Source organism: Homo sapiens, chromosome 4 (genome assembly GCF_000001405.40).
Source record: "Homo sapiens chromosome 4, GRCh38.p14 Primary Assembly".
In the NCBI taxonomy this organism is placed as follows: domain Eukaryota; kingdom Metazoa; phylum Chordata; class Mammalia; order Primates; family Hominidae; genus Homo; species Homo sapiens.
This window is the reverse complement of record NC_000004.12, coordinates 51,895,160-51,918,531: the sequence shown is the minus strand read 5'-3', so window position 1 is coordinate 51,918,531 and position 23,372 is coordinate 51,895,160. Positions and strand designations below refer to the sequence as shown.

Sequence of the window (23,372 nt, the reverse complement as noted above, 5' to 3'; positions counted from 1 at the left end):
ATCTTTTGCTTACTCTTCATGTAAGGATTTGGAGGTAACATTCCAATGAGTCATTTCTATTTGATGCAACCAGCGACCATGGCATGTCCTGCTTTCACGTATGTTCAACAAATCAAGAAAGTCAGTGTCCGGAAATAGCCAATTTTATTCCTCACTTCTGTAGCCCTGGGGTTGACACAATCGTCTTTGATTTCTTCCTGTGGGTGTTTTTCATTTTTTCAGTTCATTTTCCTCTCCACCCCATTATTTCAAAGGGCTTAACAATGTCCTTCCTTTAGGGTGACCTTGTGTAAGTTTTTCCTTCATGGGTATGTCTGCAATGCACCTCTGCTAGGTTTTTTGTCTTGAGCCAGCATTCGTGGTTTACTCTCTCCTCAGTCTATCTTGCTCCAATTACAGCAGAGAACTTTATTTCAATTCCCATGAGTTTACATGTAGAGTCCTAGTACTGTCTAGTGGAATAAATCTCATGTTCCTATTTTCTATTATTGGATAACACGTCTCATGAGTTTCTACTGTTTGCTCTGCCACAAGTTAAGAATTCCCTGTCCTAAGGTTTGTTGTCTCTCACTCCTATCAATTCGGGATTAAGTTTTTTCCTTTATCTCCACCTCTCTTTCTTGATGTCTAGAAGCAGAGATATTTTCTTGGTGTGATGCTCAGCTTTTGGCCCAAATTATGGTTTAAAGAATCATCCACATTGACAATTTTAACAGCGTGCACCTGGATTCTAAGGAATCTTATTTTCTACTTCCTCTCTCTTGCTTTCAAGCGTATAAAAATCAAAAGTCTTCCTCGATTTATTCTTGGATTTTCTAATCTTTACATGTTTCTTAGGTCCTGACAATTCTTTGCCCAGAGAGGAAATTCTGTTACCTGCTTCCTTCCATTTTCTGGCCATCCACTACGTGCCAGAGGTCCTGCCCTCAGAAAGCTTACATTCTAGTATAGTGTAAGACAATTTTAGAAAGGGGTAGCCAGGGCTAACACACACTTATAGACTAATTGCGTGGCAGCCTTGAGGGTAGTAAAGTGGTCATTCCTGCCTAGCTTGTGGCCCACATTATGTACTTAATTCTTTAGCTCAATGTGTAGAAATACACAAAACATGGTGGGTTTTTTTAAAATCACTATTTGGCTGAGGAGTGACTGCACTATCTTTAATCAAAACATTTAAAATACTGTATCTGAAAGTGTTCTAGATTAAAAGAGACTAAAGAGGCGTAACAACTAAATACAATGCTTATCCCTGGATTAAAAAGATAATAGCTATCAAGAACATGACTGGCACAAATGGAGATACTTAAATCTGCACTGTTTATTATAGTATAGTACCACCATTAAACTTCTTGAGTGTGATCATTTTATCATGGTTATAGGTGAATGCCCTTATTCCAAATTAACAGGTGTGATGTGTCATAATGTAATTTACTCTCAGAATCTATTTACAGAATGTGAGAAGTACACACACGTATAGCCCAAGAGTAAGGCAGGAAATACAGTAAAATGTTAACAACTGGAAAATCTAAGTGACAGGTACACAGTTGTTCATTATATTATTGTAGCTTTGGAAATTTTCAATAGAAGAAGTTGGAAAAAAAACAAACAAAAAAGGATAAAAAATGCTTTAAAGACTACCTTAAATGGTTTTTGAAATGAAAGCCAGAAGAGAGAAGAAAAAATTTACACATCTGTTCTGAAACCAAACACAAATACTTTTTATTCATGGGATATCATTTTACATCAATGTCATTGAAACCTAAAACCAGTTTGCTGTACTCAAGTTAGGTGGCATAACAGTATTTCAGTTAAGCTGGGAGTCACAGGACTTGCACACTTTTATGAATGTAATGCAAATACTGACGACACGAAGCATTCACAGTTATAGGTTACCTGCTGTCATTGAACAGTAACCCCCAATAGAAATTATTTTATGAAAAAAGCAACCCACGTTTTGGTCTCATTTACAGACACCCAACATTTTAGTTGGTCAATGAAATCTATACATTTATTATACAACATATGAAAGAATAAAGGATAAGGCTTACAGAGGTATTTTAGCAGTTTTAAGAATAAAAACCAAGGGCACAAACTAACTTTTAAAGCTTTCTGTATAAACTTCAAAAGCACTGTTAAAATGGAGACTGAGAGAGAAAATAAATCCATTGTGAAACCAGAATCTAGGTTTGCCTAGTCAGATTTATAAAAACATAATTCAGAGTTCATGCTTCAAAAAAGGTGCATGTAACATTACAGTGGATGTTTGAGGCAAATCAAATAATACAATTTCTGACCTACTTCAGCAGTAAACATCTAAAGGTTGTATTCCATGACAACAGAGTATTGCAATGTGGAGTTCGAAACACAATAGAAAAAGAGAAAGGGTTGTAGACTTAGGTACTAAAGAAAACCCAGATGAAGGCACCCTAATTTATTCAACATTAGCCAGTAAATAAGTGCTTGATGATTGTTCAGTTTTGTGCAACTTAGAGAAGTTTTTAAGAAAATGTATCATATTACTCTGTCTGACCCCTTTTTCTCCCCTTAGAAATAAATATATAAAATCAAGACAATCAAGGGTAAGCACTCTGCCGCTCAGCAGTCAAAGAGGTTTATTTTTCAAGGCAGTTTAAAGATTATTTGGAGTTTTCTTAATATGCAAGATTATCCCTTTGGAATACTTACTTTCTTATCATACATAATGCAATAGTTTTTACGCAGTTTTTTCCCTACCATCAAAATGTTGATTGTGGATTAACTGTAACATCTCCCTCCTGTAACAATCCTCTCATTTTAGAATTAACTGTGCTTATCAGCATTTTTTAAAAATCTCTATATTCTAACATAGTGTTTAAAATAACTTCATCTATGATTTATATTTGCTTTAAATAAAGCTACAGTTGATCAGATTTAAAGAACTGTATGACCTGTTGCCTTTAAAGTGTAACTTTTTAACTTTATGGAATAATTTTGAAAATGAATCAATTCTTCACAGATCCAAACCTGCCTAGGCCAGTCACCACTGCAAAACAAATGCATCCATCACATCAGTATTAATAGCTGTTGCTTGCCATTAACATTTCCTGTTCTTTTCAGATATTGGTTTATGCAAACTGGTATTAATTTTTAAGGTTGAAAGTGAATCTACAAATAAGGAGTGGTTAAGTATGCTTAATCACTACAGGGTTTTTTAAACTTCTGGTTTATTTCACAGCAAATAAAACCTTTCGTTTGGTAGAAAAAGAAAGTAGTTGCATTCTACTATATCATGATTTTGTATACACACACACTGTATATACATACAAAATTTCTTTCTTTGGTGGTTTAGTTAGGGAAAAAATATGAAAATGTGAACACTGTTTGCAAAGAAATGGTAAAATAGTGGTCAAGAGTAGCACTGTCTGTGTGCTTTATTCACTTAATGCCATTTAAACGATCACATGTCACCCGAAAGAAGTTTTAGCCAGAGTTCCAAATAACCCAAACCTTTTTCCAGTCATCACATGTTCAAATCACGGATCTTGCTGACCACGACAGCATTTACTTGTTCAAATGCACCATTACCTTTTACTCACTCAAATCATTAGACTTTTGTGTTTTCACAGAACTTTAGGGACTGAATTAGTCATTCAATAGCACCAGATAGTTGGGGTGAAAACATGTCATCTCTATATTTCCTCAAGAATGGCAAAAAAAAAAAAAAAAAAAGACATAAAATACAAACCTAAAAATACCATTCTGTTTATTCTTGTTTCCTCATCCACAAAAATAATGGCTATTGCCCTTCTGTACAAATAACTCAGGTAATGAAAAGTGGCCCCTCTAGGACAGGTCCTAGCATGTACTGGGTTAGCTCAATGCTGGTGGTTTCTTGTCCACTGCCTGCAATGGACATGCTGCCAGGAAAAGCCTAGCATGAAACAAACAAACAAGGAAAACAAAACAGCTCTCACTTATAGTATGCTTGTTTTCTCAAAAGGCTGGAAAATTACATACCATGAAAGCTTAACTGAAAATTCAAGCCACAACTAGAAGTGCGATGCAGTTATAAACAGCCAGCAAAACCATGAGGTTTTCATTGAGGAGGTGAAATAAATTTTACTTAGAGTGGCAAAGAAAGCATTAGCAGATCAATCACTGGCTAGAAGAATGCAAAAGGAAAAAAAGAGAACAAACAAACAAAAAAGTTAAAGAATGTTTATAAGAGTTTAAATCCCATTCTTTTAAGAAAAGAGGTGCAATTTGAATTTGTTCATTGGTACCTATATTCAAGCTATTATAGTTTTAACACTAAAAAATAAACAACTTATACACCTTGCATGGTAGAAATGATTTGTGGCATGTTACATATCTATATGTTCAAATAATTATAACTCATCATTTTAAAACACTAATATTGTTAAGTATACCAAATGATATTTGGCATATGCCTCTAAAAAGTTATGACTCCTACCTCCTTCCAGAAGTTGGCCTCTTAAACAGTAAGGTTAATTCTGGCAATGTTTGTTCATGGTAACAGTTTTCTCTTGTTTTCTGAAATGCTACATAGGAGACCAAATAAAGTATAATTGGTTCATTCAAAAAAAGGGACTAGAAATGCCACAAAATTATTTTTACAATACATTTTTCAGAAATAATCTCTAGGTGAACCTTTTTCCTTTTATACACATATACAAAATTTAAACAGCAATATACACATAATCACAGTGAGGACGTTGGCAAATTCACCAATCTGTAGTGTAAATACAAACTGCAAAGCAGCCTTCCAAGAGAACAATGCCACACAGCAAGCAGAGCTGGCCAATTCAATAGCAAACACCAACATGTCCCTGCGAAAGGGAAACAGTGCAAGAGAAGCAGCATGCGCTTTGATACAAACAGCAATTTATGGCTAATGGGTGACAAAACTGTGGTAACAGTGACTCTCTCGCTGCTATGCATAAAGTCCTAGGACATCTGTTTGTCTTTATACCACTCCACAAACTCGTCCAACAAAACTGGCCCTGGAGAGAAAGAGAGAAACAGTAGTAATAATAATAATAATAACAATAATAATAATAGTAATGTAGCTGAGGCTTTTCCCAATGAGGATGATATAGAAATGTACACGAATGGCAGAATGGTAGCGGCAGTACTTACATGCTCCATCTTCATCATAGTTGCTGAGGTCAAGATTAATTGTTCTGCTAAACTCTAGGACATTGCACCACTGGTCTTTATTAATAACTTTGTATTTTGATTGCTGATGGAGGGAAAAGTAATATGAATTACTGACACTTAAAATGAACAAATGGGACGGTTTCAATTGCTTTATGAATCAACTTAATTAAGTTCATGTAAGGTTAACTCTTTCTGTTTGAGGTTTGTTAAGCACCAATCTAGGAGGATGGTGAGGGAGAGCAAGAGTAGAATTTAAGATGACAATTGTCATTACAAAAATATGACAGGGTCTCAATACAAAATGGAAAGCACATCAAAATAACATGATTATATATCCCCAGAAGTGAAAATTCTAAACTGCAAAAGCCATTTTATATAAAATGCAGATAATATCTACTTCATAAAGATATTATAAGAATTAAAAGAGATCATTTACTAATTTATGTGAAGCACTTCATTCAGTGTTTGGCACAAAGTAAGTGCTAAATAAAGAGTAGCTCCCATTAATATAACCCCTGACATAACCAGCACTGCCCATGGCCAAGCCTTCGGCTTAAAGCACATGCAGCAGCAGGTTACTTGACGAGATCCGGTAAGTGCTGCAAGTGGTCTCAAAATTAGGTGTTCTTGTCACAGAAAAAAATTACTGTTCTAATAATTCAAAACTCGAATCTGATCATAAAAGAAGCTAGAATAGCTGTGAAATCGTTTTTCTATTCCTCTTAGACGAGAAATTTGCCATGTGTCTATTTAAAAATACAGTATCCCTGTATGAAGATTCATAAATAAAATCCAGAACCAATGATTTTTAAATCTTCCCCACTAAAATCAGAAACATAGTAAAACAATACAAGTACATAAAAAGCAAAGAGAGTTGAGTCAATGGTTTTGAGGATGCAAACACAAGAAAAGCTGAAATGAGAGGAATACTGTCTTTTTTAAAGAAAAATGCAAACTAATGTAAGAGAGAGAACAAAGCACAGACTACAAGTTTAACTTTCTAAGCAGGTAAAAGCAAAAACCAGTCCTGAAACAGTTGATGATGCACCTGGAATTACACAAAGTCAGATTTCCTCCAGGCCAGGTCTTCCAGCTTAAGACTCTTTACACACAGGTGTAAATCCAGCTAAACTCTCTGAGAACAGGGAACTATTTCTATTTATTTTTCCAAATAATGCTAACTCATCTCAAGGGATTGTCAGAGAAATTAGAACAGACCATATGTCAACATGGACTATTTTGGGTAAACAGATACTTACGTAAAACTAGTTTTTAAATTTTTGAGGAGTCCCACTTAGTAATGTTAAAAGAAATTTTTAATAACAGTTCTCAAAGAATCCTATCAGATATTAAAAATATTCTGGACCATTACATAAAGTAAGTTGTGAGAAAGATTATTCAAGAGTGAAGCCAGAGTCATCTTACGGCCCAGCATTTTCTCAAAGACCCAACACCCTCATCCTTGCAAGCAAAGGACACTTTTTAGAAGGGCTTGGGGCAGGAGGGAAAGGAGGATGCCATATATGACAACCCAAGTAACTCAAACTTGTATCCCATATACTTCCAGGTCCCACAGAATGACACTTCAACAAAACCAGTAGCTCAGAATTTCTGATCATCAATACTTAAAAGCACACAAACAATGATGGAATAAAGTGCTGGATTGTTCTGATACTGATCTGAAGACAATTTAAACTGAAGGAGATATTGTCAGTCTGCCTAATACTTAGATTGATCTAAGGTCCTCAAGTTACTTGGTGACAAGAGTAGATAAGAACATACTACAAACTAATTTTGGTAAGAAGGCAGATGACTGTCTTTTAAACCTCTGCTTAATAAAAGTGGAAGTTCATCTAAAGTCAAAAGAAAGTAAATCTTCTTTTTCTATTGTTACAAAGAACAGAAAATCTAAACAAAAGTGAAGCTTTAAAATGGGGATGAGAAAAGAGAGAAAAGGACAGAGCTGTGGCTGTTTCGGATGCATTTTTAATGTGGAATGAAGCAACACAACATTAAACGCATACACAGATGCACTCCAAGAAGATAGGTAGCTGCTGACTGACAGCAATTATGTCACCGTAATTCCTACATAGGCAGAAAAGTACAACAAACAAAAAATTACATACAACGGGTGAATAAAGTTATTTGGTAGTTCCAAGCAAGCAAACATACATTTCATAAAACAACAATTTGGTACCTCTAAGAATTGGTGAAAAACTGGAAAAAGGGGCCAGATTTTTCCTAATAACAGTCCCAACATGCACTTGGCAGTGTTTATGTCTAGGCTGCGCTGGTCCTTTTCCTGTTTAACAAACAAAAACAAGGATGAGCCAGATGCCCCCAAATAATAAATTCCAATAATTGCAAATGTGTATTCACTTCAACAGGAAATTAGTAAACAGCTCATTTATCATACACCTTAAAGACCCTGCATCCAGACTAAGGTTAGGGAGGGGAGGTAGTCAAACACAATGGAAGGCTTGGGCATTACGATATTATATAAATTTACTGTGAGAAAGATTTATGTCAACTGAATGATCACCCTAATGCAAAATCAATTAGTTATGTCGTAGCAGTTTCTACAGGCTTTTCATGGGATTAATAAAAACTTGTAACTCAATCACTTGCTTGTTTGATATTTATGATAATTATCAAAATCCTAATTGTTGACCATAAAGCCTATAACTCAACGGAGCTTAAAGGTTTTGATGCCTATGATTAGGAATCAGGTTTCCTTAATAAAAACGAAATCAATTTGATTTCATTGATAAATATTTTTCTTGAACCTAAACATGCTGGAATTGACTTCAGCTCATACCAAATGCTGGGGCTCTGAAGTGTCTCTCTAAATCAGAGGATAGATTCATCTACCCACTCTGGTGGAAGGCAGGAAGTCTATCAATACAGTCCTTCAATAGACAGATAGATAGATAGATTTCTTAGACGTAAATTTCCTAGTAAAATACTCCTAACTAGTAACCAAGTGAAAGACAACATTTCATAAGGACACCAGAAAAAAAGATAAGAACATAAACCTAAATAAGGGCAGGGTAAGCTCATTCCACTTACATTTGCAATTAAGGATCCTAATTTCTCATTTCCGTCTTTCTTATATGCTTCCATTCCAGAACTACAAGCGGTCAGTTTCCATGGAAAGGAATAGAGGGCCTGGGACCATAAGCATACCTTACATATCCAAAGCTAGCCTCCATGTGTTATCTTAACTACAGTGGAAATTTGTAAAAGTAGTTTTTTACAAAGGGAGAAAGTGCCTGGCTAGCCCAGTGCAGTGGAATCTAAATGTTCAAATTAAGGGATGATGCTGTGACCACCACCCTAAGCCACATATGCAGCCATATATACCTCCTGATAAAATAAATCATCACTGCAAGGACGCTTAACAGTGAGGTACTCTTTAGTATACAAACCATTTCTAGCCATGACCCTGAATTGGGACTTAATACAGCAAATGTAAGGGCCTCACTTAACAACAACAATCAAGGTAGATGAAGACAAGGAAACTTGTTGCCTAAGGAAGATGTGCAATAGATCTGGCCTTTTGGTCTCAGTTGTGAAGTGTAACGACTGTCCATGAATAGACCAGGTCAGATGGCTCCACATCACCCTTCTTTCAGAGGTCACATAACTTAAGTCTGATGAGGGCAGGTGTATCCCAGTTCCACAGTTCTATGCAAACAGGTGGGACCTCCTTTCCACAGGGTTCTCTGCCTGTCCCTTGGCCATATGTATTGTCCTGCTCAGGGCTGCAGTACGCACTCCCAATGGAGAAGAGGACAGGAGAAGAGGTGATCTAGAGACTGCCTGCCTTTTGCCAGACAAACTGCATTGGTTTGTTGTGTTTCAAGGGCTTACACTTCTGTGATGACACTGTGCAAGCAAATGGAAAACTTCCTCTTACCCTGTAACACAGGTGTGGCAGACGGCAACAGCACACCATACTATGAAGCAATCCACAAGATAAACGAGTAAACTGTTGAGAAACACACGCGGCACCACAGGACTCGGCCAAAGTCCATTTGTTGAACAACAGCTTATGCAGCACTGGGCTGACAACACTGGCGCTCTGGAAGAGTTTTCCCTTTGCAGAGTTTGTAATCATTCACTAAACCCCAAATCTCTAGTCTTGCTGTGATATATATTGTGCCTTCTTCCACCATCATCAATACCTATGTCCCCGTCACAATGGACATACACTAAGGTGACAAAAAAGAAAAAAAAGATACAAAAGACCTGGACAGACTCTTTGCAACAATATAATCATCTGACAAACTGATGATCATGAAGGATTTCAATGCATATGTTTGGCAGTGATGCCAAAACACGGAGGAAAGGCATCAGACTCACAGGACTGGAAAGCTGAACAGCACTCACTTACTCCTGCTCTGCAAGGGTGCCAGCCAGCAGCTCGCAATCACTAACACCATCTTCGGCCTAGCAAATAAGAGAAAGATATTATGGATGCACTCACAATCTGAATAGTGGCATCTCACTGATAACCAACATTTCCTGTGAGTGGACTTGTGGCTATGTGCAAATGACCATGACTGGAAACACTAAAAATTCCCGGGAACAACAGTCGAGAGCTCCCACAGCAAACATCTACTAAACATCAAAATTGGAGACACTCGCAGGGGGTTCTCTGACAACAATGATCCTAATGACATTCTCTGCAAAGGGGTTCCCAATTAAAAGTGAAATGAATCTCCCAGGATGCTATCAGGCAGCCATCAACTTTATAGGCATTTAAAAAAAAAAAATCACCGTAACAAATTCAAGGAGTAAAGACATCCAAAAGCTCTTTGTAAGAAATTAAAATTATACGCTGTCAACACAAATCCTGTGACTCTCTGCTCATGGAGCACCAAGGAGCAAGGGGCAGACCAATAGATTCCTGGATCCCAAGGTCAGAATTAGACAGAAGGTACCTTGAGAGCCTGCCAAGAGCCAACCAGCATCCCCAGAAGGCCCATCAAGGTTAAAGGAGAAGGAAATGAAAACATCTCTCCCTACCCACCTCTTGACCCAAAATGTGTATGTAGGTATTTCATAAACTTTAATTTACTAAGATAAAAAGCAACGGAATTTTGTGTCATTTTTCAAATAATAATACAAACTGAACAGGCTCTATACACGAAAGATATACCAATCCCCCACAATATACAACTAGATTCTACTTTGTGGTCTTCCTTAATGCAGATTAAAAATAGAAGTTATAGAATGATATAGTACAGCTGCAAAACCAAAGGATCCTACTCTAAATATTCTACGTTATATTTTATAAATGGAATAAATATACTCCATAAGCTAAAGACTAAGAGCTAGTGTAGAGAACAGTGAAATTTTATTACAATCTGATTTAGAGTTCTAGTATGAAATAAAAAACCAGTGCCTTTGTTCACATACTACTGTTTCAGTATAGGTTCTCCTCTAAAAGGTGACAATTGAGCATTTTTTTCTTAGATGACACAAATGACTTAACAACTGAAACAAAATAGTTAACTGTAAACATGTAAATAGAAATATATTACAAAAATGAACCTTTAAACATCTGAGTATCCAGATCTGCTAAATCAAAGGCCCCTAACTATTTCAAAAGATGTATTTCCAATTTATACCAAACTTTACAGCTTAAGACTTACATATGAAAAGAGGAAAAGAGGAACCCTGAATTATTAAAATTACAAAGAAAAAAATTCAACGGGAAAAATTAAAACCCAGAAGATTTTCAAGAGAGACTAGCTGGAATCAAGAAATAATATACAGGCAAATCACAATTCCAAACATAAATGGTGAAGTCAGAAATTGGTACATGAAATCAAAAGGCCTTAAGTGAAGACCTATTACATGTGTCATGGTGTTCCAATTGAGGCCACAGGAAAAACAGACATAGAGAAAATGCAGTCCTCCTTAACCCAGCTAACCTAAGTAACCAAAAGATAAAAATAGAGGGCTGTAAAAAGCTCATATCTGAAATATTGTGGCTCAGTTTATGAAACCAAAAATACAGCAAAATAATTTTTTGAACGGGAGTTTAATTGTGCTCTTAGAACTTAGCTAACATTAGTTTAGAGACAACAATGTTTGCAAGGCAATCAATTAAGCTCAATTCTTGACACTTCCTTTAAAACAAAAGGAAAACATCTGCCAGCTGGCACAGGCTTTATTATTTTATTTGGTACAATCTGATTCTACTACTGTAAGCACTACTCTAAAAAAATGTCATTATTTGAAATGACGTCTGCAGACACCTAGGTAATATCAGTGAAGAATTCAACAATTATTTCTAATTCTATGGTTAACTTTTCCTGAGAACTTACTTCAAGCTAGAAACTGTTCTAAGTGCCTTACACTTAAACTCATTTCACCTCTATTAGTAAATAGGGACTACTATAATCCCCAATTTATAAATAAGGAAACTGAGGCACAAGGAGTTAAAATCAATAAATGGTAGAGCTGGAACTTGAGCTAGGAAGCTGATTCTAAGCTGGAGCTCTTCACTGCCTACCAAGGCTGCTTCCCTCAGAAGTAAGGAAGGAAGAGAGATTTCGATATGAAGAAACATACAGGCCAGTGGGCTCTATCAGTAACTGCTGAGCAAATATGCCTGGCTCTGCAACAACTAAAGAGGAATCTTAAGGATAAAACTAAGATTTTCAGTGTAATAGACCCGGGCTTAGATGACTCCATCATATTCTTATTCTTACTGTCACCCAGGCCTACCTTCTGTTTTCTTTGTAAATGACAGTGAAGTATGAGGGAGAGTGTGAGGAGAGTGTATGAGTGTGCACGTGGACACACGTGTGTTTGAGGTTGGGGGTGGGTTGTGTGGAGAAGGAAACTGGACGAATACATCAACTAACAAATGAAAGGCTGACTCACATCAGAAGAGGAAGTGAATCCAAATGATTGCAGGAGATTTAGGTTAAGCTTCAAGAGGATTTCTCTGATAACACGGGTTGTTGAACACAAGACCTAGCAAAATTTTCCTTAGTGAATTCTATGAGTAACATCCCTAATCATTTCTGGTTTGGCCATTGTGGTACAGAGAAGAGGACAGTGTACCAGCTTGAACCTGTGTGGCTGCTTACAGCTTCCTGAAACACAGCCTCAGAAACACTGGAGAAGAGCAGCTGGCACGTTCTGCTGGGAAAGAGAGTACATGGAGGGGCTGACAGACTTGCTCTCTAACCTGCCACAAGATTACCTCTCAGTAAAAGCCATTCCCACTTGAGTGTTCTGCCTCCACAAGACTCTTCATTCGACTTCTTTAAGGTTTTATTTCAAGAAGTGAAAAGGCGACCTCTCCAGTGCCCTCCTTCCATCTTCCCTTTCACTCGTTCCCCTTCTCCTGAAAGGCCTCCCTTTCTCTCCCTCTCTAGCAGTTTCTCCTAACTTTGTTTCCTTCCTGATTCTGTCTGGTTCACCTCGATCACTCCACCAGGGCTCCTCTCAAACTTCTCACTCTAAATCTGTCCCTTCCTGCATCAAGGTAGGACTGCAATGCTAGAAACACATCCTACTCTGTGGAGAACAACAGCACTGCAAATCCGTGGTCTCTGCTCTCACCTGGCCCTCAATGCTGCTGATCAGCGCACACCCTCCTCCAAATCCCATGCGCCAGCCTCTGCACAACCTTGAACCAGCAAGCTTGTCTCCACCACAGAGAAGGTAAAACATCCAATGGACTGATATTTATAACTAGTCTCAGATCAATGAAAAATTATATAGCATTTTAGTCTATTCTCTTCATCTAATCTTGTTCTCACTAGGTCCTTTTTTAAAAAGGAAGCAAGGAAAAATGGCTGCTTTATTTAAAAGAATCCATATAACAACAATTGTTTATATAATAAAATTTATATTGAGGGCAAAAAACCCTATGCATAAAAATACTGAGGCAAAATTCCAACTGTAGAAGAGAACTGATCATGTTGGCCCTTGTGTATATTCCACCGTCTTCTTCTAGCAAGATTCCACAGCGGGAGGAGAGCTTTGTGGAGGGAAAGCAATGTGGCTCTGTGAAGGACACTGGCCTGGACGTCAAGGGCAGATGCGGGCCCTGCTGCTGCCCCTCCTCGCTGGCTCTCAATCTCATCATCCTACATTGACAGGCCTGGACCAGATGACTTCTGAGGATCCTTTCAGCTCTCAAGCATCATATAGAACTATAAATAAGTTCAAGTCAAAGACAAATTAGGAGAAAAATAACACAACTTTATAGCCAAGTACTATTTTAAATTGGCTACAAGGTTCAAAGGGGAAGAAAGAAATGATCAGCCCCTTGGGGCTGCAATTTTGGTAGAGAGCTGTTAAAGGGGCTATTTTATCATTTTCTGGTGTTGTACTGTAGTTTCTTTCCCAGCATATTAAAGCAGAATTCAGAATATTTAATATATACCACCATTGTCAGTTGCAATATAATATTTGGGATATTAAAATTATATCATAAAGCTCAATTTTCATTAAAGTGTGATTTTTAAAAGGTCCACTGCTGGTTAATTGAGTTTTACCTCCAGGAGTCCACTTTTCTAGTAGGAAAAAACAGATTTGAGGGGGAAAAAATGAGGTTTGAGTTCTTCTTCCAACCAAGATAGGCTAACAGGTAAGATTTCCCTTTCCACTTAAAAACAACCAGGAAATTGGACAAAAAAGGTGAAATGATGGCTTCAGATGATGAAAAACAGGCAACACAGGACTGTGATCCCCAAGAAAAAGAAAATAAATAAGGTAAGCCTCAGGTTGATACCAGCTTACTCTGTGGAGGTGGTTTCTAGGCCATAGCAAAGGAGGGGGAACCCAAAACTGAGCCTAGCAATCTTGCTGAGTTGGAAAAGACAGAGCTTGGAGTTCAAGGTGGCAAAGATAACTATAATTTATGCAGCCAAATACTAGTGAGGTGGGAACTACACAAAGAGATGTGAAGGTCTCCAGAGTGGTCTCCTTCAGTCTTTGGCCATATACACATGTGAAGAAACAACCTGAGTCTGAAAAGAAACATTGCAAATGAGTGAGCAGAAGTCCCCAGGGTTTATTCAGGGCTGGGGACAGTTTGTAATCCCACCAGTCAGCATGGAAAGATCTCATAGCACACAAGGCATTGGGTAGAATCCTCAAAAAAAATATTGCCTTAGTAGTGGGGCCAAATCATCCCTATCAAGACTGCTTTGGACAGCCCTTCCAAAGGATCAAGCTGATTCCAGGTAATTTATGCACTTAAAAAACAAACAAACTCAACGCTATCTAAAGGAATACAACAAAACCCACAGCAACCAAATACCTAAAATTCATAATATCCAGCTCCAATTAAAAAAAAAAATTACAAGCAATGCAAAGAAGCTGGGCAAGTAACTCACATTACCAAGAGAAAAATAAACCAACAGAAAGAGACACAGAATTAACAGATGATGGAACCAGAAGACAAGGTTATAAAAATACCTACTATAAACATGTTCTAGAAATTCAACGAAGCAGAAAAAAATATTATCATGATGGGGAGAGAAACTGGAGACATAAACAAGACCCAAATGGAACTTTTAAAGATGAAAAATATAGTATCTGAAATGAAAAATATACTGGTTGAGATGAACAGATTAAACACTGCAAAAGAAAAGATTAATATTGGAAGACATAGTAATAAAAATGATTAAAAATGAGACACAGAAAAAACTGAAAAAATAAAAAGGAACACAGCATCAGTGGCTTGTGGGACACATTCAAGCAACCTAACATAGTTGTAACTGTAGTCGCAGAAGAGCAGAGACAGAACAGAAAAAATATTTGGAGAAATAACAGCAGAAAGATTTCCCAACTTAATAAAAACTATAAACCCACAGTTCCAAAAAGCTCAACAATCCCCAACCAAAATAAACATAAAGAAAATTATTCCAGGGAATATTATAATAAACTTGCTAAAAAAGCAATGGAAAGAGAATAAAAAGTCAGAAAACAAAAGACGTGTTTAGAGGAATAAAGGTGAGAATGACACCAGATTTATAATTACACATGATGAAAGACAATGCAGAGACATTACTGCAGTACCGAAAGAATAAAGTGTCAACCTAGAATTTTTTTACCCAGAAGTCTCTTCTAAGTTGAAGGCAAAATAAAAGCTTACAGAACTCATCACCAGCAGATCTAGCCTATGAGAAACATTAAAGAAAGTTTTTTAGGCAGAAGGAAAATGATACCAGATAGAAATCTGGATCTACACAAAAGAAATAAGGAGCATAGATATATATGATATATTTGGTATTTCTGAGTAACAATAAAAGACATTTTTGCCAATTTAAAGCAAAAGTTATAGTAGCATATTGCGACATTTATAGCCTAAATAAAATAAATGACAAAAACAGCATAAAATATGAGAGGGCAAAATGAAAGTACACAGTTGTAAAGATTCTTGCATTATACATGAAGTGGCATAACATTATATGAAGGTAGGCTGTGAAATTTAAAGATGTATACTGGAACACCCAGAGCAACTACTAGGAAAAAAAAGTTAATAAGGCAATAGTGAAAATATCCAAAAAGAAGGCATGAAAAGAGGAAAAAAGGAACAAAAAATAGGTGGGATACATAGAGAAAAAATAGCAAGCGAGGAGATATAAATTTTGTCCATACCAATAATTACATTAAATGTAATAGTTTCAGCATCCCAGTTAAAACACATATTGTCAGATCCAACCACATGCTATCCATAAGAAATCCACTTTAAACATAAAGAAACAAACAGGTTAAAAGTAAAAGATTTAAAAAAGATATAGCATGCAGACTTTAATAAAAAGAAAGTTGGAGTGAATACATTTGTATTGGACGAAGTAGACTTCAATATAAGGAATATTACTAGAGATAAAGAGAGACATTACATAATGGTAAAGCGTCTTAATTCATCAAGAGGATATAACAATACTAAACCTAGTATCAGTGCTTCAAAACATGTGGAGCAAAAAAGTGACAGAGGTGACAGAAGACATACAGGTGGAGAGTTCAACATTCCTCTCTCAGTAATTGACAGAACAAGTAGAAATCAGGAAGAATACAGAAGACCTGAAAGACACTATCAGCTAACTTGACCTAATTGACATTTATAGAACACTCCACTGACAACAGCAGAATATTCATTCTTTTAAAGTACGCATAAAATATTCACCGCAGCAGACCATATTCTGGACCATAAATCAAATAGATAAAAATTATACAGGGTATGTTCCCTGACCACAACAGAATTAAACTATCAATAATAGAAAGATTATCTGGACAATCCTAAATACCTGGAAAATAACATACTTCTAAATAATCAATGGGCCAAAAAAGAATTCACAAGGTGAACTAGAAAATATTTTTAACTAAATGAAAATGAAAATATAACATCTCAAAATCTGTGAAGATACAGCTCAACAAAACAAAGCAAAAAAGAACAGGATTCATTAAAAAATTTATCTTAGAGCATATTTTAGCTAAACTGAATCTATCCGGTAATTAAGCAATGATTAAATATGGTTGTTTTTATTTATTGTTATGTGAAAGGGCTTAATTCACCAATATTAATTGAGACTCTCCTTTAAAACAAAGGATGTACAAAGAAAGAAATTACAGAGTCCCTCAATCTGCCAGGAAAAATTAAGGCCTGTACTCAAACTCCAAAGCCAAGTAGAGGAGACACCAGGGGTATGTAACTGAAACCAGCACAATCCCACCCCGACAGGCTGATCCCTGACAGGCTGACCAGGAGGCTGTGTCGAAGCAGAAGCACATGGCTCAGACCCAGGGCCTGGATGGGTACAACTGTGCTAATGCAAACGGGGCTCTAGGCAAGGGCCCAGCACTCCCAAAGGCAGAATGCAGAGAGGCCAGGAAGCAGGGCCAGTGAGCAACCGTTAGTGCAATTTCATCATAATGCAGGCGTTGAGTGGGGAAGCTTGGGACTTAGTTGTGAGGGTCTGGAGTAACCCACATACTAGACTTGGAGACAGAAGGCCTAGGTTTGAGTCATGGATCTACTATGAACAACGTGGCCATTTCTCCCCTTTGCTGAAGCGCACTTTCTTACTCTGTAAAGTGGACTGAAACCACCCCGGCTGTCCCTCAGAGCTGACATGGGAACAACTGTGTCGTATACACAGGGAAGTGCTGGGTCGATATAAACACAGTGGGGAGGTACTAGAGGCTGTGGGGAGCAGGAAGGTGGCTGAGTGACCCAGGGGCTGAAGGAAGACGAATGACACCCTAGTGATGTGAGCACAGGGTAAGAAGTGAAAGAATGTGGACATGAGGCTACCAGAAGAGGGCTGGTAAGGAGAAGCAAGGCCTCCACCGGTGAGGCTGCAGTGGAGGCACCAAGAAAAAGGTGGCCAAAGAGCACTCATGAGATGTGCCAGGGTGACTGCCCCAGAACAGGACGTTAGCCAGGGAGGAGTAAAGCAGAACCTAGATCTAAAGCACATTGGATATCTGGGAGAACTGTGACTCCCCCAGTCAAGGAAGTTAGAAAATAGAGCTGATTTGGGTAGAGAAGGTATGATGTTTCTAAATGAATTTCTACCCATACTATAAGAAACAGCTGACTTTGGGAGGAAAAAAAAAACTCATGAAATAAACTATATAATCCTAGAAACCAGTCAACTATTCTAAAAGCATCTAGCAAAAAAAAGCATCTGGCAAATAACTTCCTTTTTCTTTTTTTAACCTCGAACTCCTGTTCTTAAGCAATCCTCTTACCTCAGCCTCCTGAGTAGCTAGAACTATAGGCACCATATCTGGCTAATTTTTAAATTTTTTTATTTGTTTTGTATAGAGACAGGGTATGTTACCCAGGCTGGTCTCAAACTTCTGGCTTTAAGTGATCTTTCTGCCTCAGCCTCCTAAAGTGCTGGGGTTACAGGTATGAGCCACTGCATCTGGCCTGGCAGGTAACTTTTATATATTATTATGCAAATGCCATTTTATCAAACACTGTATCTGAATTTCACCTTATCGTTTTTAACATCAATAAATTTCTATGCATGGTGTGATTTAACTAGAAGGTTGTAATAATAGGAAAATGCATGAATGAGGGCACCACAGAGAACGTTATTGCAAGATGCATCAAAATTCACCATCAAATAAACCTTTGGTGCTGAACTGGCAGAGCCAAAGAGAGTAAAAAGTGAAAAAAATCAATATGGTGGTAAGGAAAAAAGAATAAATTGTCACCGAGTTCTCTGCCTTAAAAAAAAATAATTTAAAAAAGTGCAATCAAACAAGAAAGCCTAGTCACCTGAATCCACTAAACAAACAGACCTAACAGAAAACATCATTTCAGAATAAATTGTAATTGTATGGGATATAGATTTTGTTTGAATTGAGTATGATGCCAACTGGTGCTTCAAAATTCTCTATGTATGGTGACTAGGCTGAAAAGTAAGATTTTTATTTCACTCCAAGGGAACCACTTTCACATACTTCGACTTGACTCACTATGTGACAAATAGGGTAACTGCTTTTCAAAACGATGATTAGAAAAATACATTTAAGTAATGTATTACATTAAGTAATGTAAGAAATTAGCTTACGTCTAAAATTCACATGATTTCCAAATACAATAATAGCACCCACGGTGAATCTGAATTAGATATGATTAGCTTATTCTAGTAAACTCAACAGGAGAAGGTTTGTTGTTCTGTGAGAAGGAAAGCTTTTCCAACCTTATCTAAGAGACATTTAAGACAGTGTGTATTGCATGCCCATGTCACTTTTAAGCCAATTCCAAGAGCCAGTAAACGTCTGCCACTAGAGCTTTTTGCTGACCTACAGAATGTTTGACCAGAATCAAACTTAGTTTTCAAAAGCATACATGTAGAAAGAAATACTAACTAGCATCCTGGGAGTTAACTTATTCAAGTTTTTTTGCTGTGGCATGTAAAAACTAACCTCAAAAGGCAATTTAAAAAGGGGAGGGAAGAGAGGGAAACATCTGGATAGGCTCCAGAGAACTCACCCGTGCAAAGTCAAACGCATATCTGTAAATAAGTTTAAAGTTTGTAGAATCATTTAAGAATGATCTTAAGTAATCCAAAGTATTTCTGAGTTTTTCTGTTGTATCACATCTAGAAAAACAGAATAAAGGCAAATTATGACCTGAGTTCATTTATTTATTTTTTTAATAGAGGCAGTAATATAAACACAATACCAAAGGAAAGAACAAATCCCTGAAGTTGAAACACATCCATAACCTATTTTTTCTACACTTAAAAAAAATTTTAAATGTACAGAAAAGTTGAAAGAATAGCAAATAACCACTCATATACCATCCCCTTGATCCAGCAATTAACCTTTTTTATATTTATGTACTCTCTCTCATATACATATACATTTTTCTATACCATTTAAAAGTTGCAAACATAATGAAACTTCATCCCTAAGCACTTCAACACCATCAACAATCTTACTACTGTATCAATGTTAACTTTCTTAGCTGATATACAACCACCTGCAAATTTCCCAATTATTCCCCAATTTCTTTTATAGCTGCTGTTTTCAATCAGGATCCAATCAAGGATCATGCGCTGCTTTTAGCTGTCATATTTCCTTAGTCTCTAGAAGAGTTCTCTGCCTTTTTCTTTCTTGACAATGTCATTTTTGGAGACCAGACCACTTGCTTTTGTAGAATGTCCATCTGTCAGATAATGTCCCTATGATTATATTTAGATCCAACACTTCTGACAAGATGTGTGTCCTTCATCATGTCTGTCTGTCCCTGTTCCATTATTGGTGGATTCCTATGGTTATGGTGGTGTCCACCATTTTCCATTTAAAGGCAATTCTTCCTCTTTGAAATAGTAAGTATCTACAGGATGATACTTTGAGACTATAAATGTCCAGTCCCCAATAACATTTCACTCAATGTGTATTGTACACCACTTAAACTTCCTATTTTCCTCCTGCCTCAGTATCCCCACAAATAAGCAATGAACATCCTACCCAGGAGACCAAGTCCACTAGCGGTAAGTCTGCCCCCCTGCCACAAGGTCCCCTTCTTACACTCCCCTGACTATGACTGAGTGACATCCACACATACCAATCTGACATCCAGGGAAGGCACTTGCCCATGGGTCCTCACTCTCTCTCAGTTCCCCACCTGCTTAGCGGAGCCCACTCCCTGGGAGCTCCTCCCATATAGCTCCCTGTGTGGCATGCCATGCTTCCCTCTCTAGGAACTGAGAATAAAATAAATCCTTTAATCTCCTATTCCTCTCCCAGTAGAAGTTCTGTGGCCAGGTTGGAATGATCTCTAAAGACCTCACAAGGAGGACATACTCCTGACAACACACAATGGTTATAGCATCCATTGGTGATACCTGCCTGAATCAGTAACATCTGAATACCCAAGATGGTGATTTTCTAATCCTATCATTCCTTCTACATTTATTGGCTATAATTCTTCTATAAAGAAGAGCTCCACACATGACCTTCTTATTTTCTGGACTTAGGATTTTTTGCGTCTAATTCAGTGTGTTATAATCTGTTACTGTCATTACTCTTTTTGATTGTAGAAACTTTCCCCATTTGGGCAGTAGCCCCCTAAAGCTGGCTCCAATTTCCTTCTGACATGTCCCCCACAAGTCTCTGAGCATTTCCTTGCTTTCTGGCACAAGATGGAACAGCTCACCCTGTTCTTACCCTATTCCAGACTTGAAATCAGCCATTTCTCCAGGGAGCCTTGGTGATAATAACCTGTTTTTACCAGTAAGTGATACAGTGTTTACTTTTCATAAGCAAGCATACTTATTGGTTATTTTTACAAACTAATTTTGTTTGCAATATCTAGCCCTTAAAAATGAGAATCAAGAGTCACCATTTTCACCAGCAATATTAAAGATTTTCAACACTGAATACGTATTTTCTCTATAGATCTTTAACCTACTAAGTACAGATAATACATACACCAAGTATTATCAATATATTTTGTATACTGTATGAACTAAAATGGTTCATAATAGAGCACACGAATCTATTTTTAAAAACAAGCCTGTGAAAGCTCCTTCTTTGTACCTAACTACAAATAAGTCCTTATGATCTCTTTGTTGATATGATAAACTATCTAAAAGCCTGCAATTATATTAAATGTTTAATTTCTATGAAACAGAACAATTTAGAAAGCCCCTTATTTCTTCCTAATGTGGAAAATAAAAAAGATTAAAATTAGGCTATTTTAGAGTCGGAAAAGACTTCTTCAAGAGAATGACACATAAGCTAAGAGAGTTGAGAGATAAGCAGGAACTAGATATTTTGGAGAGGTGGGAAAGGCTCTCTGTCTATTAGGAACAGCATAGGCAAAGGCCCAGAAGCAGATGGGAGTATGGTAAGTCCAACAGACTTAAAAGACAGCCACTGTCGCTGGAGTGGATAGAGGAAGTGGGAAAGAGGTATAAGATGATGCTGAGAGGAACATGGGGTCAGTCTCATAAAAGGCTTTTGTAGTCCACAGTGAGGGTTTTTAAAATTACATCCTAGGAACAATGGAGGCCACCTGCCACTATGAGAAAGACCACGATCAGGGCTGCATCTTGACAAGCTCACTCTTGATCTCCATGGAGAAGGACTGGTGGGAAGGAAAAGAGATATTGAGAGCCAGTTAGAGATCTAGTGCCAGAATCCCAATGAGGGGGTCACAGGGACTAGAAAGATACACAAGAAAGCAGTAAACAGGAGTAAGTTTGGGAGGCAGGGCTGAATTCGCACTATAGGGTTAGATTTTCTACTGTAGGGTTAGATTTTTTTAATGGTGTGTATATAATAATATAATATTAATAATAATCGGAGAGGGTCAAAGAGGAGGGAAACTGGGTAACCCAAAAACATAAGGTCGAGGTCCCTGTTCTTCACCGGAAAGAGGGTCAAGGACCAAAGCCATAGATTTGACTGGTAGTTTAGTTTAGTCCTGTCTACGAAGAAGAAGAGCGGTTGTTTGTTTTAACAGATTCAAGAGCAGGAAGCACTCATTTAGATAACTACCCCATAGTTAAAAGAAAATAAAGTTAGCTGTAAACTCTAGGCAGAGCTATGAGAAGAAATGTGAAGTTCTGCAGCATGCCTGGGAGCAAGCCCAACATCCTGGCAAAAAGATGTCCCTATGTTTGAAAGATGCTCAGAGATCCTGTCTGAAATGCAGGAAATGAACAGTTCTTGTGCTTTAAACATAAAAAACACAAGTAATATTACTAACTCTGGTACCCATTAAAAACCTGGGGTTGGGAGCTAATGTTGCCAATACAGAGTTTAATCTGCTTTAAAGGGTGTCTTGAACACACAAAGCCCCTGGACTGGCCCCCAATAGTGAAACAGGCTGCTGAGTCACCCTGTCCAGAACCACAGGTTGCCATCTAGTGGCCACTCAACGTACACATCTTCAGAGGACTCTAGAGCCTGGCTTGGGACATGTAAGCCACCAATGTGACCTCAGAAAGCAGTCACATCTTCAACTCAAGTCTTCCCACATGTTTCTGTGTACCATGTATAAAAAAATGTGTAGAAGTCACAGTGACAGTGCCACGCTTCTAAGGAACACCATTTCCCAACACAAAAAAATGCACACAATGTAAGATAATTTCTTTTTGAGTTTGCTGCTCTAACAGATTTGTAAGGACAGAAATCAACACAGTAATCATCGAAGTTTATAAAATCAGAGGTAGCTTTCCCCTATTACCCAGGAAAAGGCCCCTGCCCCTTCACTTAGTATTTTTCCAGCCCATCATCAGTTTATTGCAGTTAATTAACAATTGTCACTGTTTTTTTTTTTTTTTTTTTTTTTTTTTTTAAGTTTAAGCACCACAATTAGCTTAATTCATCAGACCAAAACAGGAGCTGTGTCTTCTCTGGCAGGGGAATGATCTCAGGAGTGCAAGGATAGATGTTCCCTACCAGCTGCCGGCCTAAGTCCAAACTCTCATACCACCCACGTCCTGCCCCAGGCTCACAGGCCCTAGGGAAGCCAAGCACACAATTCCTCTGAGAGCCCAGGCATAAGCCATAAGCCATACTTCACCACCCTAGTTTAAGGATGCTACCAGAGACACCCAGGAAATGACAGAAATGATTAAAAACTCTGGTTTCACAGCCGATGGGCTTTCTGTTTCTATCACACTCCCATCATACAGTAACCTTTTTTTTTTTTTAACAGCATTTTAACCAAATATAATGAAGGGTCTGAATGTTTG

At 37.6% G+C, this 23,372-nt stretch overlaps 1 protein-coding gene across 24 annotated transcripts in view; it reads right to left on the bottom strand.

Moving 5' to 3' along the window:
- Window positions 1–1,694: 1,694 nt before the first annotated feature.
- Window positions 1,695–23,372, bottom strand: part of DCUN1D4 (defective in cullin neddylation 1 domain containing 4) — an 82,954-nt gene continuing 61,276 nt past the window's right edge. For 13 of the 24 annotated variants that reach the window (XM_047449871.1, XM_047449872.1, NM_001287757.2 and 10 more), the window contains 4 exons: window positions 19,154–19,262; window positions 7,358–7,462; window positions 5,140–5,242; window positions 1,695–5,003 (listed from right to left, as the gene is read on the bottom strand). In XM_047449871.1, the coding sequence (XP_047305827.1) occupies window positions 4,948–5,003; window positions 5,140–5,242; window positions 7,358–7,462; window positions 19,154–19,262 (373 nt within the window). In that variant the 3' untranslated portion in view covers window positions 1,695–4,947. Of the gene's footprint in view, window positions 5,004–5,139; window positions 5,243–7,357; window positions 7,463–9,079; window positions 9,375–9,556; window positions 9,613–13,216; window positions 13,344–19,153; window positions 19,263–23,372 lie in introns of those variants that run through there. The other 11 variants (NM_015115.4, XM_005265731.4, XM_047449881.1 and 8 more) reach the window with 4 other exon arrangements.